This window comes from Homo sapiens, chromosome 1, assembly GCF_000001405.40.
Source record: "Homo sapiens chromosome 1, GRCh38.p14 Primary Assembly".
Taxonomy (NCBI): Eukaryota; Metazoa; Chordata; class Mammalia; order Primates; family Hominidae; genus Homo; species Homo sapiens.
The window spans coordinates 144,195,198-144,219,385 of NC_000001.11; the positions used below are offsets into that span (position 1 = coordinate 144,195,198).

The 24,188-nt window shown below is 46.0% G+C and overlaps 1 long non-coding RNA gene and 1 pseudogene across 4 annotated transcripts in view; one reads left to right on the plus strand and one right to left on the minus strand.

The window, feature by feature from the left end:
- Positions 1 to 17,727, plus strand: part of LOC100996731 (proton channel OTOP1-like) — a 34,022-nt pseudogene extending 16,295 nt beyond the window's left edge.
- The window catches only part of LINC02802 (long intergenic non-protein coding RNA 2802), a 42,825-nt gene continuing 30,912 nt past the window's right edge, over positions 12,276 to 24,188 (minus strand). For 2 of the 4 annotated variants that reach the window (NR_199614.1, NR_199615.1), the window contains one exon: positions 12,276 to 13,278. This is a non-coding gene — a long non-coding RNA (long intergenic non-protein coding RNA 2802). Of the gene's footprint in view, positions 13,279 to 14,833; positions 16,393 to 24,188 lie in introns of those variants that run through there. The other 2 variants (NR_199617.1, NR_199616.1) reach the window with 1 other exon arrangement.

Genomic DNA, 24,188 nt, shown 5'->3' on the forward strand with positions numbered 1-24,188 from the left:
TGTTATGAACTGAGTCATATCCCCTGTGAAATTCATATGCCGAAACCCTCATTCTCAGTACCTGAGCATGTGACTGTATTTGGAGATAGGGTCGTTTAGAGGAGATTGAGGTTAAATAAGATCATTAGGCTGGCCCAAATTCAATATGCCTAGTGTCTTTATTTTTTATGTTTTTGAGACGGAATTTTGCTTGTTGCCCAGGCTGCAGTGCAATGGCATAATCTCGGCTCACTGCAACTTCCGTCTCCTGGGTTCAAGCAATTCTCCTGCCTCAGTCTCCCAAGTAGCTCGGGTTACAGGCACCTGCCACCATGCCCAGCTAACTTTTGTATTTTTAGTAGAGATGAGGTTTCACCATGTTGGCCAGGCTGGTCTCGAACTCCTGACCTCAGGCAATCCACCTGCCTCGGCCTCCCAAAGTATTGGGATTACAGGCGTGAGGCACCGCGCCTGGCCCTGGTGTCTTTATAACAAGAGGAGAGAAGGACACAGACACACACAGAGAGACAGCCATGTAAAGACACTGGAGGAAATTGACCATCTACAAGCCAAAGAGAGAGGCCTCAAAAGGAACCAACCCTGCCCATACCTTGATCTTGGATTTCTAACCCCAGGACCCTGAGAAGAGAAATTCCTGTTATTGAAGTTGATGATCTGTGGTCCTTTGTTATGGCAGCCCAAGCTGATCAAAGATAACTGGCTGCTCATTCCAGGGGAGCCAAATCCCGTGAAGACAGAGCCTTATAGTGATACAGTGACAATGTGGAAAGCTTTCGTGAGGCCAGAACGAACTGCATTCGTTCATTCATTTTTCTTGTAGTTCATCTTTAAATACTGGACGAACATTGTTCTCAGCATGGGGAATACAAGGCTGTAAAGTCTGTGTCACACACCATGGGGGTGTCAGTTAGGTGAGAGGCAGTCCCCAAAACAGTGACAACGCTGGGCTCAGTGCTTTGACCAGAGTGTCCCAGAGCAATGAGGGAGCACAAAGGAGGGCATTTTGGCAGCTTGGAGTGACAGTCAATTTCTGCCAGGGAAGGTCCCAGAACCGTTTGTGAGAGAGGGAGGAGCACAGGGTTAGTGGGTCAGAGGCCACTGGAAGAGGGTGTCTTTGGGACATGCAGTCTTTCCTCACAGTGGGGTAGCGGGAGGATGTGTGGGCACAGGCTGGATCCCTGTTTGGTGTAGGGCTTGTAAGCTTGCACTCTGGTCAGATTGCATGACTCTGGCTCTGACCACAGCTGTGTGACTTCAGGCAAATTACTTAACTTCTCTGGGCCTCATGGGTCTTACTTGCAAGCTGAGGACAATCACAGTACCTACTTCATGGGCTCGTTGTAGAGATTAAAGGCACATGTGTATGAAAAGCACTTGGCACAGGGCTAGGTGTGCAGCAAATTCTTGGTCAAGGCTGACCGCCACCTAGGGGCTTGGGCTTCACCTCGAGGGCAGTGGGGAGCCACTGAAGGCTTTAGGCAGAAGAATGACTGGGACAGATATGAATTTTCAAAATATCCCTCTTAGTTGGTGGGTTGGAGATCCTAGCTTTCTAATTTAAGGCATTTTATTGGCCAGGCAAGTCAATGAATTAATCATTCTATACCTGTTGGACACTTACCATGTGCTTTTGCTACATTAGATGACTGGCGAATGGAAAAAAGTATATATAACAATTAGGCGCTGTTCTAAAAAACAGAGCATTTATTTTAAAATTGTGGCAAATACTGAAAAACCTGTAGATATCAGGATGAAATCGCTTTTGTCAGACCCAGGCAAAATAGGCCTGGGAAGGCGCTAAGGAGAGGGCACTTCTGTCTACGTGTCTGAGATACAAAGTGTTTCCAAAGACTTTCTAAAAACCCTTCATGCATCTCCTGCTTTGAAGAGGTTGGACATTACTAGACATTCTTTAGGACTGCAGTAAAGCAGATAAGATGCTCTTGGAAGAACACTTGTCCAGCACTGGCATCTCCACCAATGAACTGATGACAACTCTGGCTTTGAGCCTCTAGAACCGATGAACTCTTTTTCTCTGTGGATTATGTAAATCTCTCTTTGCTAATAACAGCTCCTCCTTACCCTTCCCTCACCGAATGCGCTGGTGGCTTGCCATTCCATGCATTCTGGACTGTAATTCCTATTTCCAAGTAAATCCAACATATTTAGTGATAATTTTCTCTAGTGTCTTTTTTTTTCAGGTTGACAATCACATAACATTTACCATCTTAGTCATTTTAAGCGTATGGTTCATTAATGTTAAGTACATTCACTTGTTGTACAACCAATCTGCAAACGTTTTTCATCTTGCAAAACTGAAACTCTGAGCCCACTACACAACTCTCTATTTCCTCCTCCTCTGGCTTTTGGCAAACTCTGTTCTACTTTCTGTCTTTATGAGTTTGAATATTCTAGATGCCTCGTATGAATTGAACCATACAGTATTGGTCTTCTTGTGTCTGGCTTATTTCTCACAGCATAACGTTCTCAAGGGTCATCCATGATGTAGCCAGAATCATGGCTGAGAAGGAGCCGTGTATTTGTGTGCACATGTCTGTCTCACCCTATGGTGCCTGAGGCTCTCCCAGGGCTGCTTGAGAACTGAGTCCTTGTGTTTTTCAGGTTTGGGGTGATCCACTTGGTGTTCACCAACCTGCTTCTGTGGGCCAACGGCGTCCTCAATGAGTCAAAGCACCAATGAGCACAAGGAATGGCTCATCACTCTGGGCTTTGGGAACATAACAACAGGTGAGTGCTGAGAGAGGTGAGTGGCCCCTCTGCCATGTTGGAATGTCTTGGAAACCTGCAGAGTCCACAGTGTTCAGAGATGGAGTGCAGGTTCCAAAGAACTTCAGGCCCACCAAAGTCAGCATCAGCCAGACAGCCCCCTGTTGTTGAAAATCTTCCAAAACCTGAATCTCTCATAAGTGATGTGTACTGAGCATAATTAAAGGTTTCTTCCATGACTCAGGGACTTGTAAGACCCACGGTGATCATTCTGATGGCCATTTCTCATGGTCCAGTTTGCCGCAGAAATAAATGTCTTTGTTTTCAACTACAGAAGATTGATGGTTGCCTCTGCTTGTGTTTTTAATTAAACCTCTACTACCAGTTCTTTCTAGTAAAAGTATGGCTTTTAAAAATTCATAAAAGTCTAATGGTAGGTTGTGGTTAATAGGCTGTGGTTCATTTAAAGTTTTAATTTAACTGTAGTTGGCTTATAATTCTAGCTCATGTCTGTTCTACCTTGTTCCTATTTGAGAGCCTGTTGGGTTAATCTTTATATTTTCATCTAAAATCCTTTAGCATTTACAATATGTCACTTCTATATGAGAACATTCAGGCTGAGGGGAATGTGGGGCAGGGAACTGGGTGTCTCAGGTTTGTTCCCATCATGTACAAGCTGTGTGATCTTTAGAAGACATTTAATCTCTCTGAGCCTCCCTTTTCTCATTTGTAAAGTGAGGGTATCCAAATCATGCACTTGCAAAGATCCCTTCCAGCTTTAACATGCAGCAAGTCTGTGACAGCTGTGTGAACCCAAGCTGTCCTGGAGAGCCACTTTGAACCTGTTTTGTCATCAGTGGGGTGGAGACAACGAAGTCACCACCCCCAACCAGCAGGCACTCGGTGTTTGGGCCTCATGTCCTCCTTGGTATCAATATTAGTAGCAGCAATGACCACAATAACAAAAGTAAATTTTTATTAAGCATTTGCTGAGTGCCAGCCACTGTTGTTGGAAATTTACACATGTCATTTAATTTGTACCCCCACACTCTCTGGTAGGCTATATATGTGTGTATGTGTGTGTGTATGTATATATATATATATATATATATATATATATATATATATATATATATAGTTGTTTGTTTTGAGACAGAGTCTCACTCTGTCGCCTAAGCTGGAGTACAGTAGCGTGATCTCGGCTCACTGCAACCTCTGCCTCCCATGTTCAAGTGATTCTCCTGCCTCAGCTTCCTGAGTAGCTGGGACTACAGGTGCATGCCACCATACCTGGCTAATTTTTGTATTTTTAATAGAGACGGGGTTTCACTATGTTGGCCAGGCTGGTCTCGAACTCCTGGCCTTGTGATCCGCCAGCCTTGGCCTCCCAAACTGTTGGGATTACAGGCGTGAGCCACTGCGCCTGGCCTCAGGTAGACAATATTAACCTCATTATATGGATGAAGGCATCAAGCCACGGAGAAGTTAGCCCAGGGTAACACAGTGAACATGTGATACAGCCATGATTTGAATCCTAACAATCTGGCTTCAAGGCCCTCTGTGAAAGATGAGGTTGGATTAATTTTCTAAAAAAGGACTCTGTCAGCTGTAACATTCTGTTACTCTGAACTTTTCCTCCTGATTTCTTCCCTTGTCTTCTGCATAACACCGTATTGAATTGTAAGTGCTAGGGAAGCCCTGTGTGAATTGAAGATTATTACTGGGGCAGTGACTCACACCTGTAATCTGAGCACTTTGTAATCCTAAGGCAGGAGCATTGCTTTAGCCTAGGAATTTGAGACCAGCCTGGGCAACAAAGGGAGACCCCAGCTCTGGAAAAAAAAAAAAAAAAAAGCCAGGCATGGTGGCATGGGCTCGTGGTCCCAGCTATAGCTACATGGGAGACTGACGCAGGAGGATCACTTGAGCCCAGGAAGTCAAGGCTGCAGTGAGCTGTGTTTGTGCCACTGCACTCCAGCCTGGGCAACAGAGGGAGACCCTATATAAAAAAGAATAAAAAAAGAAAAAGAAAATTTCATAGTGTTCTGTGAAAGTAAAATTAATGCTACGATATAGTTTTTCTCAGATTTTTTTTTTTTAGACGGAGTCTTGCTTGTCGCCCAGGCTGGAGTGCAGTGGCATGGTCTCGGATCATTGCAAGCTCTGCCTCCCGGGGGTCACACTATTCTCCTGCCTCAGCCTCCTGAGTAGCTGGGACTACAGGCGCCCACCACCACGCCTGGCTAATTTTTTGTATTTTTAGTAGAGACAGGGTTTCACCGTGTTAGCCAGGATGGTCTCAATCTCCTGACCTTGTGATCTACCTGCCTCGGCCCTCCAAAGTGCTGGGATTACAGGCATGAGCCACCACGCCCAGCTGCTTTTCTCAGATTTTATAAGTAATATATACATATCATAAACTAAAACAATGACAAAGTGTGAAGCAAAAAAATCCACAACACTTACCCAGAAATGCAGTAAATGCTGTGAATGTTTGGTTATTTTTTTGTAGTGTGCCATTTATTTATAGTTGATTTTATACTATATATTTGATCTTTTTTTATTGCAAACTTCAATAAGAGACAGATTTTACACTGTAATCCAAACACGCACATACTTATGTGTGTATGCTTGATGAAATAATACTTAATTTTACTGTATCAGAGATGCTTCCAAATTTTATCGGAGTTGATTCCACTCCATTCTATCCTATTCTAGTCCACTGAAAATTATTTCTGCTACAAAAAAGTTGGTTGCTACCTGATTTTACAGCCTTGTACTGGGTTGTGACTTGCATTAAAGAAATATACAGTTTGTTCTTACTTTTTTCCATTTTCCTTGAAACGAGATTACTTTCTTAATATTAAAACACATCCTGGCTGGGTGCAGTGGCTCATGCCTTTAATCCCAGAACTTCGGGAGGCTGAGGCGGGCAGATCGCATGAGCTCAGGAGTTCAAGACCAGCCTAGCCAACATGGCGGAACGTTGTCTCTACAAAAAATATAAAAATTAGCCGGGAGTGGTGGCATGGGCCTGTGGTCCCAGCTACTCAGCAGGCTGAAGTAGGAGGATGCTTGAGCACAGAAGGCTGATGTTGCAGTGAGCCAAGATTGTGCCACAGCACTCCAGCCTGGGCAACAGAAGGAGGCTCTGTCTCAAAACAAACAAAAAACAAAACAACCCCCCCCATACCCAAAACCATAAAGCACATCTTAATTATAACGTGCAGTGGCTGTCTACTATCTCATTGTTGGGATATACTAAAATTTACTTAACAATTTCTAAGTTGTTGGACCTTGAGCTGTTCCTCTCTCTCTCTCTCTCTCTCTCACACACACACACACACACACACACACACACACACACACACAATTTTACCTGACTTTTTTTTAAATTATTTTTTGAGACTGAGTCTCGCTCTGTCACCTAGGCCGGAGTGCAGTGGTGCGATCTCAGCTGACTGCAACTTCTGCCTCCCAGGTTCAAGCGATTCTTCTGCCTCAGCCTCCCCAGTAGCTGGTATTACAGGCTTGCCACCACACCTGGCTAATTTTTGTAGTTTTAATAGAGATGAGGTTTCGCCATGTTGGCCAGGCTGGTCTCGAACTCCCGACCTCAAGTGATCCACCTGCCTTGGCCTCCCAAAGTGCTGGGATTACAGGGCTGAGTCACCACTCCTGGCCTTACCTGACTCTTTGATTACATTTTTTTATTTGTCCCTTTGAGTAGAAGGGTAGAATGGAAAGAATGGAATTATGGGTCAGAGACTGCATCGCCTTCAGGGCTTTGGTGACCTGTTTCGTCATTTACTTGCAGCATCTGCCTTCCTGTGATGAGAGGGCCCTCCATATGACAGCCAGCTTCTCTTCCAGAAGGTGGTGCCCGTTTACTTTCCCCGCACTGATATCGGAGAGCACCTGTCTCCTGCATGCTTGCTAGCACTGGAGTCTTAAGAGGCATATCTTTTGCTAATTAAAAGGGGTATTTTCTCCAGAAAGTATTTTTTAAAAATAATCTTAAAAAATCACACATGTAAATCATCTTCACAGAGAAAATTTAGAAAATACAGGGAAGCAAAATCTAGAAGAGATTAAAAATCATCTGTCATTTTTCCACCCAGAGATAACAATTGTTGACATTTTAGTTTGTGTCCTTCCAGGTTTTTTCCATCTGTCTGTGTGTGTGTGTATCCATCTATCTATCTATCATCTACATATCTATTTTTTACAACAATAGAGTCATCTTCTCTATCCTCTTTGGCAACTCACCAAATAAATGTGATTTAGGTAATGAATATGCTTTGGGGATACTCAGGGCTATCAAATTAGCCATGATATTAAACGTGATAATAAGCCATGACATGAAAAAGCTTGTAATCCAGTGGGAAGACCCAAGCCTGAATCCACAGTGGAAACAGTTTTCTGTGCTTTTCTGCTTCCCCTTGCACCTGCTAATAGCCCCCCTGTGTGATCAACCTGTCTCCCCTAGTTTTAGATGACCACACACCGCAATGTAACTGCACGCCCCCAACTCTCTGCACCACCATCTCCCACGGGATCTACTATATCTACTACCTCTACCCCTTCAACATAGAGTATCAGATCCTGGCCTCCACAGTGCTCTACGTCCTATGGAAGAACATCGGGCGCAAAGTTGACAGCCATCAGCACCAGAAGATGCAGTTCAAGCCTGATGGGGTCACAGTGGGCACAGTCCTGGGCCTGACCGCGCTGGCCGCCACCATTGCCGTGGTGGTGGGTGGTGTACCTGATTCATATTGGGTGCTCCAAGACCAAGAGCAAGTCAGCACTCATCACGTTCTACCTGTATGTCATCACCCTGATGAAGCTTATGGGGGCTGCGGGGCTGGCTGGAATCCGGATTTACAGGACAGATGAGAAGTCACTGGATGAGTCCAAAAATCCGCCCCGCAAACTGGACTCGGACCTCTTGGTGGGCACTGCCTCAGGCTCCTGGCTTATCTCCTGGGGCTCAATCTTGGCCATCCTTTGTGCCGAGGACCACCCCCACTACACCTGGTACAACCTGCCCTACTCCATCGTGGTGATCGTGGAGAAGTACATCCAGAACCTCTTCATCTTTGAATCCATTCACCGAGAGCCTAAAAAACTCTCTGAGGACATCCAAACCCTTCGGATGGTCACAGTCTGCAATGGCAACACCATGCCCCTTGCTTCCTCCTGCCTCAAGAGTGGAGGTGTGGCCGGAGACGTGGCTCCCTGGGGCAGGGACATGCCACCAGCAGCCAATGGAAATGTGTGCCTGAGAGAAAGCTGTGACAAGGAGGAGAAGCACGAGGAGAGCAGCTGGGGAGGGAACCCAAGCCCAGTCCACCTTCCTCGTTTCTTACAGGGCAACGCCAAGAGAAAAGTCCTGAGGAATATTGCAGCCTTCTTGTTCCTCTGCAATACTTTGGTAATCTGCACCAAGTTATTCTTATTCTTTTAATTTTGCTGTAAACTTTCATTTTAGGTTCAAGGGGTACGCATGCAGATTTGTTACATGGGTAAATTGCGTGTCGCTGAGGTTTGGTGCACAAATGATCCCGTCACCCAGGTAATGAGCATAGTACCCGATAGGTAGTTTTTCACCCTGCACCCCACTTCCGACCTCTCCCCCAGTAGTCCCTAGTAGTGTCTATTGTTCATATATTTGTGTTCATGACTACCCAATGTTTAGCTCCCACTTATAAGAGAGGACATGAGGTATTTGGTTTTCTGTTCCTGTGTTAATTCACTTAGGATAAGGACTCCATTTCTATCCAGGTTGCTGCAAATAATGTGATTTCATTCTTTTTTTAAGGCTGCATAATATTCCATGGTGTAGAGCTACCACATTTTCTATTTATTTTTTTTTTGAGAGAGGGTCACGCCCCATTGCCCAGGCTGGAGTGCAGTGGCATGATCACAGCTCACTGCAGCTTCGACCTCCTGTGCTCAAGCAATCCTCCCATCTCAGCCTCCTGAGTACCTGGGACCACAGGCATGTGCCACCACACCTGGTTAATTTTAAAAACTTTTTTTGTTTTTGAGAGAGAGTTTCACTCTTGTTGCCTAGGCTACAGTGCGATGGTGCTCACTGCAACCTCTGCCTCCCGAGTTGAAGTGATTCTCTTGCCTCAGCCTCCAGAATAGCTGGGATTACAGGCACCTGCCACCACAGTTGGCTAATTTTTGAAAATATTTTTAGTAGAGATGGGGGTTTCACCATGTTGGCCAGGCTGGTTTCGGACTCCTGACCTCAAGTGATCCACCTACCTTGACCTCCCAAAATGCTAGGATTACAGGTGTGAGCCACCATGCCTGGCCAAAACTTTTTTTTTTTTTTTTTTTTTTGTAGAGATAGGTTCTCACTGTGCTGCCCAGGCTTGTCTTGAACTCCTGCGCTCAAACAATCCTCCTGCCTCAGCTTCCTAAAGTGCTAGTATTACAGATGTGAACCACTGTACCCGGCCATAATACATTTTCTTTATCCAGTCCATTATTGATGGACATCTAGGTTTCTCTTGCCTTTTTAAAATAAGGAATGGAGGCAGCTTGTAATAAAAATACTGTAAGTATAAAATTACAATATAAGGCTGGAAAATAGACCTATATTCTACAAATCTACCTACTAAAGACTTGCTGTGTGCTAGGGGCTGGGCTAGGTACTAAAGATTAAAGTGGAAAGACTCAGTCTCTTTCCTCTAAAAGGTCTCAGTATAATGGGGGAGGGAGACAATGAGCAAATCTAATATAGTGAACAGGACAAGTGCTGAGATGGGCTTGTGCAAGGTGTACTAGGAGCAGGGATCCAGAAGGACTTCAGTGAGTAGTGGGTGCTTGAGGTGAGGCCCAGTGTCAATCAGGAGTGCTTTTAGTTGCAAGTGACAGGCAATTTGATTCACAGTGTCTTCAGTCTTAACAATGTTTAATTATCTCATGAGAATTCCGGAGGTTGGCTGCTTGGGGTTGGCCTGGCAGCTGAACCATGTCATCAGGCATCCAGGCACTGTTCATCTTGTCACTTGGGTGGTGTGGTGTTTGTTGTGACATGGTCATGAGATGGCTGCAGCTGCACCAGGCATCACATCTGGGTTCAAGACAGAAAGCAGTGGGGAAGGGCTGGTGCCAGACAATGTCTCTCATGTGGGCACCCCTCACTGCAAGGGAGGCTGGGGAAGTAGAGGGTTTGCTTCCCAGCCTCTCTGATGGAAGGTAGCAAGGGAGAGGAAGGTGTACAGTCACTCACCCATCTGTCTGCATCAGCAAGGAATGACTGGAAGTTCACCAGGTTATCAAGGCGGGGAAAAGCATTTCAGGCAGAGACACACAATATGTGAAGACACAGAGGCAAAAGACACCATGGCATGTTTTGAGAGCACCAAGTAGTTTGGCATAAATTCCATGTGTGTTAAGCAGAGTAGCAGAATGGGAATTAGGAGAGAGGGCCCAGGTAGGTGGACTCTGGCTTGAGCAGGGCTTCCTAGGCCTGGCTGGAGTCTAGTCTTTATGCTGAGGGCAAGGGAAGACTCTCTCAGATTTGTGTTTTGGAATGATCCTCCCAGTAGCTGTGTGTAGCAAGGATGGAGACAGATAGGGCCAGAAGCAGAAAGACTGGGAGAGAAAGCCCTGCAACAGCCCAGGCAGGAAGGGGAGGAGCTTGAACTAGGGCAGTGATGGAGGGATGGAGAGAAGAAAAAGGAATAAGAAGCATTGTGTGCTGTTGGGATTTTTTTAAAGACACATAAAGGAAGGATGGTGGGGGTCAGTAAGAAGGAGGGGGAAGCAGCCTTTGCCACCGCATGAGTCTCTGCAGTGATGGTGACTGGTGGCTGGAGGGGAGTGCCCCAGTCCACAGAGGTGCCTGCCCATCACTCTGGGTGAAGTCAGCTCTGTGCTACTAGCCTCTGTTATCAAGCCTGCTCCCTGTTGCCCCAGCAGCTCAGAGGCTTTTGAGCTTCCTCCCCTGAATTTCAGATGGTGCATACGGGGTCTGCAGCTTTTGATATCACCCTAAGAACACAAAGTTGGGAAAGTAAGTCCCTTCTAAAGTCAGAATGGCTGTGTGTCTGCCAAGCAAACCTGATCCACCCTAGCCTTGGATCACCCAGGTTCCTTCAGTTTGCTAGGCAGTGAGGAGGGGCTCTGAAGGTGGAAGGCCCAGAAGAGTTTGGCTGCAGGGAGACCATCTTCTCCATCTAACAGACATTTGCCAGGCACCTGCTGTATGCCAGGGACTATGTCAGGGGCACAGCAGTGAGTCAAAAATTGAAAGAGTTAACAAGAGAGATAGATACTGTAAGCTGCATTTTTTTGAGGTGCTTATTCCAAAATGCAAATTCTTATAAAGTCAGAGCTAGTTCTAGAATCTTCCTCAAGTATATGCTTTTTGTACATATCCTGTGATTAATATTAATATACATATATTTTGAGATGGAGTCCTGCTGTGTTGCCCAGGCTGTAGTGCAATGGTGCGATCTCGGCTCACTGCAACCTCCGCCTCTTGGGTTTAAGTGATTCTCCTGCCTCAGCCTCCCGAGGAGGTGGGACTACAGGCATGCAACAACCATGCCCAGCTAATTTTTCTACTTTTAGTAGAGACAGGGTTTCACTAGGTTGGTCAGGGTGGTCTCGAACTCCTGACCTCAGGTGATCTGCCTGCCTAGGCCTCCTAAAATGCTGGGATTACAGGCGCGAGCCACTGCTTCTGACCTAATATTTCTTTTTAAAACTAAGTTCTGAAAAGTTGTCTTTCCCTGGTTGCCTTTTTGGTTGACCACTGGGTGAAATACTTGGCTTGCATTTTTGGACCCACTTGAAGAAAGATAGCACTGTCCGAAATACCAGAATCAAGTGGCAATTCATGGTCTGTCAGGACCCGAAAGCCAGACCCAGGGCCCAGTCCAAGGAGAAGGGTGGGCTCCGTCTCTTCCTCCCTGTGCTTGGCCCATGATGCCCCCAGGCACTGGTTGGGTTCTGGGGGGTTGAACCAGAGGATGGAAATCATCGCAGGGTGGAGTCTTAGGATACCCGTGCTGGCTCATGGGTGGCACTTTGAAACCTTGTGGTTGACCCCAGGTGGTGCCAAAGGCATCTGGCAGAGAGCAAGAGCTGTCTTCTCCAGCATCGGGAGCCAGTCCAGAGGCCCCAGCTGCAGGTGCTGATGTGCATGTCCAGGTGGAGTGGGCTCCACTCCAGAGACGGACATGGAAATGTTAGTTGAATTTCCAGGAGCCGTGGCACTGGAGACAACAGAGGGTGGTTGTGGTGACCGGGAAGGGCAGGGTGCTGTGGGAGATGGGTCAGGGAAGGCCTCTTCTAAGGAAGGGTGTGGATGGGGCTGGGATGAGAGACTATCAGGGCAGAGCTGCAGGTGTGGGGAAGGGACGGATGCAAGGCAAGGCAGGGCTCACTGGACATGACCTGGGAGCACAGAGCAGAGGGCAGAGGGGAGACCACACAGGGCCTGCGAGCCAAGACTCAATCCTAAATGCAACAGAAAACCATGGAAAGGTCTACACTGAGAGTGACGGGATCTGACTCATGCTTATTTTGTTATATTTTTAATTGTGGTAAAAAACTCATCAAATAAACTTTCCCATTGCACCCACTTTCAAGTGTATAGTGGAGTAAAGTACGTTCACATTGTGCAAACATCACACCATCCATTTCCAGGTTATTCTCGTCTGGCAAAACTGAAACTCTGCCCCCATTAAATATGAACTCCCCATTCTCCCCAGCCCCTGACAACCACCGTTCTTTCAGTCTCTAGGAATTTGACTCCTAGACTCCTCATATAAGTGAATTTGTGGAGTATTAGTCCTTTTGTGATTAGGTTATTTCACTCATCATAACATCCTCCAGGGTCTCCAGGTTGCAACTCGCAAAGGGTGACAGACGCCAAACATGACCCCTGCCTTCACACTTGAGTTCCTGGGGAGATGGTGATACTATGTTGGAGATGGAGGAGGACTCTGGAGGAGGGGCAACCTTGGGAGCAGTGGGTGGAGGTCAGTGTGGAAGGAAGAACCAGAGTTAAGTAATGAACGTGTTCTGTTTCAGGTGCCTCTGTGGCATCCAAATGGACGAACCCAGTAGACAGATATTTTGGTTTTCTATTGCCGTGCAATGAACTACCACTAATGTATGACAAAAGCAACATGCATGACTGTTTTTGTCCCATAGCATTTATTGTGACTCGTGGCTTTGTGGGTTAGAAATTCTGGCAGGGCTTGGATGGGCAGTTCTGTTCCTCACAGCATCAAGTGAAGTTGGTGAAGCCTTGGCCAGAAGCTCCGTGGTCTGGTGCCCTGGGTGGGGGTGGCTGGGAGGCTGGGCTCAGCCAGGACTCTTGACTGGGGCATCCACAGGTGGGTCTCCAGCATGACGTCTCAGGGTGGTTGGACTCCATGCGTGATGGCTGAGGGCCCCAGAGCTGACCCTCCAAAAGACTGAACTGGAAGCTGCCTGTCTCCTAAGGCCTGGGCTTGGAAACTGCATGGTGTCATTTCTGCCATATTTTATTAGTCATGTAGTCACAGAGTCCATCTAGATTCAAAGAAAGAGGTCATAGGCCACTTCTCAATAGGATAAGTAACAAGAATTTCCAGCCAACTAAACAGCACATATAAAGATGTGGATTTCAGAAAAGAGGTCCCATTTTCCTGCCTTCCTTTCTTCTCCCTTTTCCTCCCTGTCTCCCTTGCCCTTCCTCTCACCCTTCCTTTAAAAGGTGTCCCTTAAGTACCTACAGAGGTACAGGGACTGCTATGAATGGTGAGGGTACAGCAATGACCAAGATCTCTGGTCTTCCTCTTATGGGGCTTACAAACCAGGCAACAGCAGGTGAAACCATCAACTGAGCAAGAAAGACACCTTATAGTGTACCCGTGTTAAGCAGAGAAGTGGAAAAGGAGGGTGTGGGAAATAGCTCTTGGGCTGCCATTGTAGATCAGATGGACCAGCTTAGCGGGAAGGCCTCGCTGAAGGGTGACACGAGACAGGAAGGGGTTGGCCACGCATGTTCAGGGCAGAGGGAACAATGGCTGGTATAAAACCCCCAGTGGGAGTGAGCGGGTCTGGTTTGAGAAACAGGAAGAAGGGTTGCCTGCAATGTGGGTGGGGTGAGTGGAGAGAAGCGTGGGTGGTTAGAAATCAGCTAACAGAGCACTTTATCACTCCGTGCGGGAGTGTAGAATTTATTTTAAATATTTTGGGAAGACTTTAGGGGTTTAATCAAGGTAGGGACAGGATCTGATTTCCATATAATGTAAATCTGGTGGCCGAGTGGAACCCTAGTTCGAGCTGGGAGACCAGGCACGGGGCCACCGCCATGGTCCAGGTGAGAGAGGCCAGCTGGACAGGTGGAGAGAGAGAGCCACAGGTGGGCTGAAGATACTGCTTTGGAGGTGCACAGTGGAGATGCGCTGAGGGACTGGATGGGAGGGGGCATGGTTATGAGAGTAGGAGGGAGATAAGGTTGACACCTGGAGCCTCGATGGACCACCTGGGAGGACGATGTAGCTGAGCAGATGGAGAAATGGGGAAGGTGGGTTGAGTTTGAGATGTGTTTTAGACACCCAAGTTGCCACCGGAAACTATGAGTCTGGGGTTCTTGGAAGTGGTCCAGGCTGGAGATTGAGACTGGGAAGTCATAGGCCTATAGCTGGTATTTACAACCAGGGACTGGGAGAGAGCCCCAGGGTTCATGTGTAGAGAGAATAGAAAGGGACCCAGGAATGAGCCCTGGACGCTGGCTAACATTAAGAGGCAGAGCAAAGGATGAAACAGCAAAGGAGACTGGGAGGGACCCGCCGAACAAGTAGGAGAGCTCCTAAGAGTCACAGCAGCCAGTAAGCAAAGCAGAAGAGAGGGGTCTTGGTTCCAGGGCCCCCGTGGTGTATACCAAATGCACAGATGCTCAAGTCCTATACTTGCATGTAACCTACCCATCCTCCCGTACACTTTAAGACATCTCTAAATTACTTAGAATACCTAATACAATTTAAATGCTATGTAAATAGTTGTTACATTGTATTGTTTAGAGAATAATGACAAGAAGAAAGTTTGTACCTATTCAGTACAGACACAACAAACCATTTTATTTTTTTAATTAATTTATTTTTATTTTTTGAGACCGAGCTTCACTGTTGCCCAGGCTGGAGTGCAGTGGCATGATCTTGGCTTACTGCAAGCTTCGCCTCCTGGGTTCAAGGGATTCTCCTGCCTCAGCCCCCTGAGTAGCTGGGATTACAGGCACATGCCACTACACTTTGCTAATTTTTTGTATTTTTAGTAGAGATGGGGTTTCACCATGTTGGCCAGGCTGGCCTTGAACTCCTGACCTCAGGTGATCCACCTGCCTCGGCCTCCCAAAGTTCTGGGATTATAGGTGTGAACCACTGTGCCCAGCCTACTTTTTGAATATTTTTGATCTGTGGTTGGTTCAATCCACAGACACAGGTCCCTGGATACAGAGGTCGGCTGTATATACCAGGGAGTGTTCTGTATGGAGATACAAATGAAGGCTATGTGTCTCAGTTACCTATTGCTATGGAAGAGACCACCCCAATACTCAGCAACTTAAAACAATGTACATTTATGATTTCATAGTTTCTCTGACTTATGACTCCAACTACAGTTTTAGCTGAGTATCTCTGCACAGGGCCATTCCCAGGCTGAAACTGTTGGCTGGGGCTGCATTCATTTCAAGGCTTGACTTTCCGAGAGGTGGCAGAGGATTTGTTTCCAAATCTACTCATGTGACTGTTGGCAGGATTCAGCTGTGGCTTGTTGGGCTGAGGGTCTGAGTTCCTTGCTGGCTGTTGACAGGGGTACTCCCTGGGCCCCTTGCCGCATAGGGTGCTTCGCAGCATGGCAGCTCTGCCACCTGTCTTTCAGGAGAAGATGAGCAAGAGGGATAGCAGGTCCTTTTGCAACCTAATTTCAGAGGTGACTTCCTGTGTCTTTTGCCATATTTTGTGAGTTGGAAGTGAGTCATTAGGTGCATCCCACACTAAAGGGGTGGGGACTCCACAAGAGGGTGACTGCAGGAGCTGGGGATCATTGAGGGTCATCCTAGAGGCTGCCTGCCACAGCCAGGGAGTGGAGGAAGCTGAAGAAGGGTGCAGCCTGAAGCGGGAGTGAGGAGCCTGACAACTCAAGGGGTGGCAGAAAGGGAGAGAACTGGGACAGAGAAGAGCCTGAGAAGCAGGGAACAGTGTGTAGGTTCTGTGAGCAACACAAACAAAAGTCACTGCTTTCAGTTTTGCAAACTTAATTCTCATCTAAGCCCTCTCAGACACGTGTTAGAATTCCCATCTTTCAAATGAGGAAACTGAGGCTGGGCGAGGGCTGTAGAGATGGAGAGAGTTGGATGGGTTCAAAGAGCACTCATTAGGGATGGATTGCAGGGAAGGGTGGGTGAGGAAGTGAGCAGGATCATGGCAGACATGGATTTGGTGGTTTCTGTGGAGATGGGAAATGCCACGAGGTCTCCTTATTGTTCTGTCAGGGGTGACTCAGTCCCCGTGCATCAGGGTCAGCTCCCATGAGGCCTGGGACTTGAGTGGGGCCTCCGTGGTGGCTTGGAAGCTGCTCCCCACCACAGGCCATTTTCTCTTCTCTTGCAGCTTTGGATACCTCCCGCTTTTGGCTGTCGACCTGAGTATGACAATGGATTGGAGGAGATTGTCTTTGGCTTTGAACCCTGGATAATTGTGGTCAACCTGGCCATGGCTTTTTCTATTTTCTATGCAATGCACGCAGCTGCCTCCCTCTTTGAGGTCTATTGTAAGATATAGTCTGGGTCCACAAGAGACTAACAAGTGACTAACAAGAGTGAGCTAACAAGAGTTCATTGGAGCCAACTGGGAATGGCCAGGTTGGACAAATATTGCCTGACAAACATGAGAAGGGCCACCTTTTGTCTGCAAAGATTGTGCTTCCTGTGGGCTGGAACTGCCCATCACCCCTGATGAATGTAAACAAGTTAGATCAAAATCCATAAGGTGGCTGGAATCTGTCCTTGGTTAGTTAAATGCTAATCAAGCCCAAATTATTTTATTGCCTTCTAAATGATTTAGAAGAATGTGATTCTGGCTTGGGAAACAATCTATCCAGTTTGTTTTTCATAAAAAGCATTTTCTTTGTGTCATTTATCATGTGACTCCATACAACCTTTTCCTGACCACCTGCATAGTAATTTATACTTTAAAAATTTATCCTTCTCAAAGCCTATGAATTTAGACACAATCACTATTGTTTCTGAATAGGTTTAATTTCTTGAAGTTATTTTTATCAGCTGGATAGAAATTTGTATACAGACCCATATAAAAACACATTTCTTACCTGAAATGTTGGCACATTTTTGTGATCATTTTCAAGTATTTTTAAAAAGAAATTTCACTGTTCTCTCTTTCACTGTAAATACACACATGTTTATTGTAAAAAATTTGGATATTTCAGAAAAGTAGAGAGAAAAAGTCACCTACGATGCCATTGTTCAATTAACAATTACTTTTAATATCTTGGTGTATTTCTTCCGACCATGTTGATGAGATTCTTTTTATTGTCATTATTATACCTTTGAATGGTGATGTAACATATTTGATTTTGTATTCAGTTATTTTCCTACTTAACAATATGGCATAAACCTTGCCCCCATATTGTTATAAGTTCTTTATAAATATCATTTTAATGCTGTATGATAGTCTATCAAGTGAATGTACCTTAATTAACATAGTTTCCTATGGTTGGTTTTACAGTGTTTATAACTTTTTGCTTTTATAGGTAACTCTGCAAAAATCAACCATATTTGTGAAGCATTTCCTATATTTAGAATTGTTTCTTTAAGATATGGAATTACAATTAGGATGCCTAGTCCAAAGATTAAGTTTAGAAATATTTCAAAGGTGCCTAAGGAATATTGACATTTGGGAGGCCTTTGTATAGTTTTTCCACAGCTATTTTAAAATAATAATAAAATTAATTTTCTTAATGTAAGTATTAATGTATCTTTTCATTTGAGTGTATTTTTTTTCAGACAGTGCAGGCAATGGGACAGTAATAAATACAAAGTTTTTTTTTAACATGACTAAAGTACACTTATTTTAGAAAAAACTAAAAAATAGGCATATATACTAAAAAACAAAGGAAAGCATCATCTATACATGTCCCATCTAGAGAATCGGTTCTCCAACTGGGGACCTTGTTCCTTGAGGGGACATTTAGCAATATCTGAAGACATTTTTTAATATTTATTTTTTATTAAAATTAAAATAAATCTAAATTATACATAATATTTATACATACTTACAGGGTACATGTGATATTTTGATATAAACATATAATAAATAATAATCAAATCAGGGTGACAGATATTCATACCCTCAGGTATGTATCTTTTTTGTGTGTTAGGAACATTCTAATTTCACTATGTTAGTTACTCTAAAATATACAATAAATTGTTGTTAACTATAGTTGTACTTTTGTGCTACCAAACACATTTTTGATTGTTACACTACTGCACCCAGGGATACTGCTAACACCCTACAACACACAGGACAGCCCCACCACAAAGTCTTTGGGCTGATTGTCAATGGTGCTGAGGTAATCTAGAGGTAATTGCTGTTAAGTATTGTTATCTAGGTAGCTATTAGTACACACACACAGGCTGGACATGGTGGCTCACGCCTGTAATCCCAACACTTTGGGAGGCCACAGAAGGATCGCTTGAGGCCAAGAGTTTAAGACCAGCCAGGGAACACAAACATAGTGAGACCCTGTCTGTACAAAACACAAAACAAAAAACCCAGGTGCGGTGGAGTATGCCTGTAGTCCCAGCTACTCATGAGGCTGAGTGGAGAGGATCACTTGAGCCCAGGAGTTTGAGATTGGGTAGTGAGACAAGATTGTGCCACTGCATTCTAGCTTGGGTGGCACAGCAAGACCCTGTCTCTAAAAAATAAAAATTAAAAAAATTATATATATATATATATATATATATATATATATATATTTTTTTTTTTTTTTTTTTTATTTTTTTGAGACAGACTTTCACTCTTGTCACCCAGGCTGGAGTGCAATGGCATGATCTTGGCTCACTGCAACTGCCGCCTCCTGGGGTCAAGCGATTCTCCTGCCTCAGCCTCTGGAGTAACTGGGATTACAGATGCCTGCCACCACGCCCAGCTAATTTTTGTATTTTTAGTACAGACAGGGTTTCATCATATTGGCCAGGCTGGCCTTGAACCCCTGACCTCAGGTGATCCACCCACCTTGGCCTCCCAAAGTGCTGGGATTACAGACGTGGGCCACCGCACCCAGCCGATAATTTTTTTTTTCAAAAGTACGCATACATCGACACCCACACCCACATGAAGGCGGTGTTTTTATGTATACTGCGTTTGTATGTAACTTGCTTTTTTCCTCTTGATACACCAGAGTGCTTCTTCCCTATTTTGGGTCCCAGGCATCGATGCTCTGGCTTTAGTGTGCCTGAGACTCATCTGGGGAACTTGTTAGGATTCCTGCCCTCCAAGCTGGAAGTGCAGATTCAGTCTGGAGGGGGGCCCGGAAGTCTGCACTTTCATGAGCATCTCAGGGGGTGCCAACTCCCTTTGATAAGCATCTCCTTGGACGTCCATGGACCCCAAGCTAGGACTCCTGAGTAAGTTTCCTTGACATTGCATATCCATATGCAGTATGATTTTGGGTGGATTTAAGGTACATTCCATGGAAGGATGTACCATTCTTTATTTTTTCAAACGGTGATGTTGGACATTTAGAGATATTTAGGTGGTTCCTTTTTTTGGTGCTACTGTAAACAATGCTATGGTGATCATCTTTGTAACTCAGTCTTTGAGGTCAGAAACTATCCTCTGGAGTGATTTATGCTGACTAAGCAGTGACTGAGCAGGAATACAGGTTTCCCCATTTTGGTTGGCATTACCTTTACCCCTGTTCTAAGCACATTAGAAAAGCCCTGAGGCCTCAGCTGTGGGTTTTGGGCTCTTCCAAGGAGACAAAGGAGCTATCATAATGCTGGGAATGATGGATCCAGGCTGTGGGGATGCTATTGTGGACACAGGGCAGCATCAGAGCTTGGAAAAGCCTGCATGGCTGGCCAGGCTCAGCGTTTCCAAGAAAGGATCTAAAGATGGATGAAGCATCTCCTATCCTCAACAGGCAGCCTCAGGGATGGCTATTTCAGCCAGGTGCTTTTTACCTCCAAGTAATTAAGCATCCTGACTCAACCAGCGTAGGTGGCAAGGAAAATTTACTATCTTAATGCCAAGGCAATTTGCCAAAGAGGAACCAGAATGTGCAATACACAAGTGTTAAGGTCTCAGGGAATACAAATTGAAATAATAATGAGTTACCACTTCCCATTCATTAGATTGGCAAGAGTTGGCAAGAAGTGAAAGAAAGACTCATATATACTGCTAGTGGGAGCGTAAATGAATAAAATCAGATAGGACAGCAATTGGCAATATTGACTAAGGCTGGAGGTACACATTCCTTACGACCTAAGAATTCTGTTCCCTGGCATGTGCTCCAGAGACAGCCTCACACCTGTGTTCAGGAATGTTCACTCAGCATAATTGTAATTAGGAAAATGGAAAACAGCCTAAATGCCTGTCAATTAGGAGTGCAGATAGACACACTAGGGACAATTTCCATAATGGACTATTTCACAAGAGGAAAAAATGAACACAACAGAATTCATGTATCAACATGGATAGTCCCCCAAAACAATGTTGAATGAAACATTAAGTAGTGTAGGGGTATAATTGGTATGATACCATTTATATGATGTCTAGGAACAAGCAAAACAATCCCTGATATTGCTGGGGGATATGTCCATATGTAGTAAGATTACAAACACACCTGAAGAAAGAATGCATGCCAAGTTCAGTGTAGTGAGAAGGGGAGGGGCTTGGAACCAGCAACTGAGTTCATGCTGTGTCCGAAATATTTTTTCCTAAGCAAAGATGTATTCATTATGTTTTCATCTGCACTCTTAAAATGTACTCTTTAAATGTACTTTTAATGTATTTTAAAGAAATTTTAAATGAGATATTTAATAATACAAGTATTTGAGAGCAATAAAAAAAGAAAGTCCATACAAGGAAGATGAACTTAGAGAGAGCTACCAGAGCAGGTAAATTTCCAGCATTCTTCCATCATTGTTGAGAGATGGGTGTCAAAGCCAGTGGTGTTCTGTTCTCCTTGGCAGGTAGATCCCCAAGGTGGGGTAGCTCAATGCAATTAGCTGGTAAGATCACCGGACTCACTCTTCCAGGGATGACTCCGTGCACATTAGGAAACCTGACATTGGTTTGCCTTCCAATGTCGCTCTTTGCTGTGGGGGCAATGCCCTGGGCACACATATTATCAGAACAATCTGCAATGGACTGGATGTTTGTTTCCCCCTTAAATTCATATGTTGAAGCTTAATGCCAATGTGGTGGTATTTGGAGGTGGGGTCTTTGGGAGGTAATGAGGTCATGATGGTAGGACCGTTGTGAATGGGATTAGCGCCTGTAAGAGGGGGCCAGAGAGCTTGTGCACTTCTTTTCTGTCATGTGAGGATGCAATGAGAAGACAGCTGTCTGTGACCTGGAAGAGGGCCCTCACCAGAACCCAACCATGCCAGCACTGGCACCCTGATCTTGGGCTTCCAGCCTCCAGACCTGTGAGAAATAAATGCCTGTTGTTGATTAGCCACCCAGCTTGTGCTATTTTGTTACAGCAGCTTGCACTGAGTAAGTTACTCCCTTACCTGCTGTAACCGTATACAGGAGGGGCCTGTGCATTTGGTAGCTTGGGTTCCTCCCTGAGCCTGTGAAACTCAGATTTGAACTCATGTATTTTGGGTGCCATGACTCTTGTCGAGGCAGAGTGAAAGGGCAAGGGCATGGAGCTAGATATCCAGGGTGACAACAGGCTCCCATGGTGCCTGAGTGTGCATTAAAAAAAGCACCCCTTCCACAAGACATTCTCCAAACTGTCGAACCAAACCCACCAGCATCTTCCTACCTGCCCATGTGCCGGGGTGGGGGGAAAATTAGACATGTTTGTCTCCCCACTACAGATGTCGGCCAAAAGATCCAACTGGAAAATGCTTGCTACTACCTTCCAGTTTCACGACCCTCTCAGCTAAGGAAGCCCTTCCTGCATCCATGTCTCTCTATGCCTGTCTGTGAAGTCCCAGCTCACAGCTGACCTGGTTAGGTAAGCACTGTTATTTTGTTTCAACGGAGGGAACCTTTGGATTACATGTACATAGCTAGTCAGTGGCAGCATTTGGTTCATCACGCTGGTTTTAAAAACTCCATTGCCTTTTCTCTTCATTAGTCCTACCATCTTATGAAGAAAGTCAACTCAGTAAAAATATCCGTCAAACAATGGCTTAGGGATATGCGTACAGAACAATCAAATCAGCTGACAGAATATCTGGCTTTTCACCCAGTTATAAAATGTTGTGCTTTGCTTAACATGGTGAAGAACGAAAGCTGCTAACAGCTGATTTCTTTCTCCCAAAATGTGAGCCCTGCTATGGGAGAGCGCAACCAGCAGGGGGTGCTGGCGTCTTTCCCTGAACTTCAGGGCACGCTTGAGAGAGGGTACCTGGCGGGTGGGCAGTGGCCTCAAGTTACCAAACGAAGGGGTGGGCGCAAGGTGTGCTGATTGGACTCCATTGGCTGCGCTGGGTTCCCGTAGCGTATGTGAGAGATACCTGTCACCACTTCCCGGCTAAGACCCAGCCAGTTTCAGCAAGGACGTTCCCTCCACTGGACCCACCAGGACCCACTCCCTGCAGGGCACCATGGTCCCTCTCAAGAGGCTTTGGAGGAACTTGGGAGTTACAGGGTGTTCCCCTGATGGGAGAGTCCCTGGCATGCCGCGTGTGAATGGGACTGAGTTGGGTGGGGGAGGCTGGGAGGGCACTTGTGCTGGGTGTGATGGGGGAATGTAGTCCATGTTAGTTCCTCCTAAGAGCAGCCACTAAGAGGACTCTGGGGAGGGACAGATGGGTGCAGTGTTTTAACCCACAAATGGGAGGGTAATTCTGGCATGATGGTGGTTTTAGCAATGTTAGTAATGCACGGACCACCATAACCATGATAGTGAAGCTACATGTCTAAAAAATGTAAATCAAATCAGGCCACCTGCTAAAAACGATTCAATGGTTTCCCATTGCCCCCCCTCCCTTTTTTTGAGGCGGAGTTTCGCTCTTGTCACCCAGGCTGGAGTGCAATGGCATGATCTCAGCTCACTGCAACCTCCGCCTCCTGGGTTCAAGCGATTCTCCTGCCTCAGCCTCCTGAGTAGCTGGGATTACAGGCGCGCGCCATAACACTTGTCTAATTTTTGTATTTTTAGTAAAGATGGGGTTTCACCATGTTGGTCAGGCTGTTCTCGAACTCCTGACCTCAGGTGATCCACCCGCCTCGGCCTCCCAAAGTGCTGGAATTATAGGCTTGAGCTACCGCGCCCCGCCCTCCCATTGCTTTTAGTAGAAAATACAAACTCCTACCCGTGGACTATTGGGGCTATCACGATCTGGGCTCTGCATCTCCATCTTCTCATGCCAGTCCCATCCTCTGCCTCCCCAACCCCATCGCCCTTCCTCCTGCATGGCTGCAGCCACACCTGGCTTCTTCTCTTTAATATTCCTACCATGCCTGCCCCACAGGACCTCCGCAGGAGCTGCTCTCTCTGGGGTGTGCACTTCTGGCTCAGGGCAAGGATCCATCTTTCTCACCCTTCAGGCTGTGTGTAGATAGATGTCCCTCTGTAGTGAGGTCCTCACTATCCAGCTCATTACGCTTCACTTCGGCACCCTGTCCAGACCCTTCACAGTCAGCTGCCAGCTGTGTTTTCTTATTTATTGGTGCTCATCCAGTCCAGTCCTGGATGGGACTGCCTGCCTCATGAGGGCATGAGCTTTGCCTTCTCCTCTCCCAGAACCTCCCTGATGTGGTTGCTTGGACACGTGGGCCACCCTCCCAACACCAGACTATCGCAGGGTGCGGGAAGGGCTGGGGCCGCCGCGGGCCTTGAGGATCGCCATGTTTCCTTCTCTAGTTTTTGAGACATTGGTGAAGATCCTCTGCCTGCTTCTAGCACACACATCCTGATCTCCTTCTGCCTTCAAGACACAAGATGGCGCTTTAAGCCTGGTTGTTAAGAAAGAGGACTACAAACGCTTGAGTTTCTTCCCTCTGCTCGCTCTCAGACGTGGCTTGCGAGGGGATTTGTGGGGTCCACCTCTCCACAGCTTGGTGGGTGGGTTCCGTCCTCCTCCTCGGACAGGGCAGGACCAGCAGCCAATCACTCCTTCCTGCCAGAGAAGGAAGTGGCGCTCAAACTGTTTTTCTGACATCAGTAATATCTGCCTACACTCCTCCAGCAGGCATCTCTGAAACATCAGTTTTGGGTGATTGGTCTAA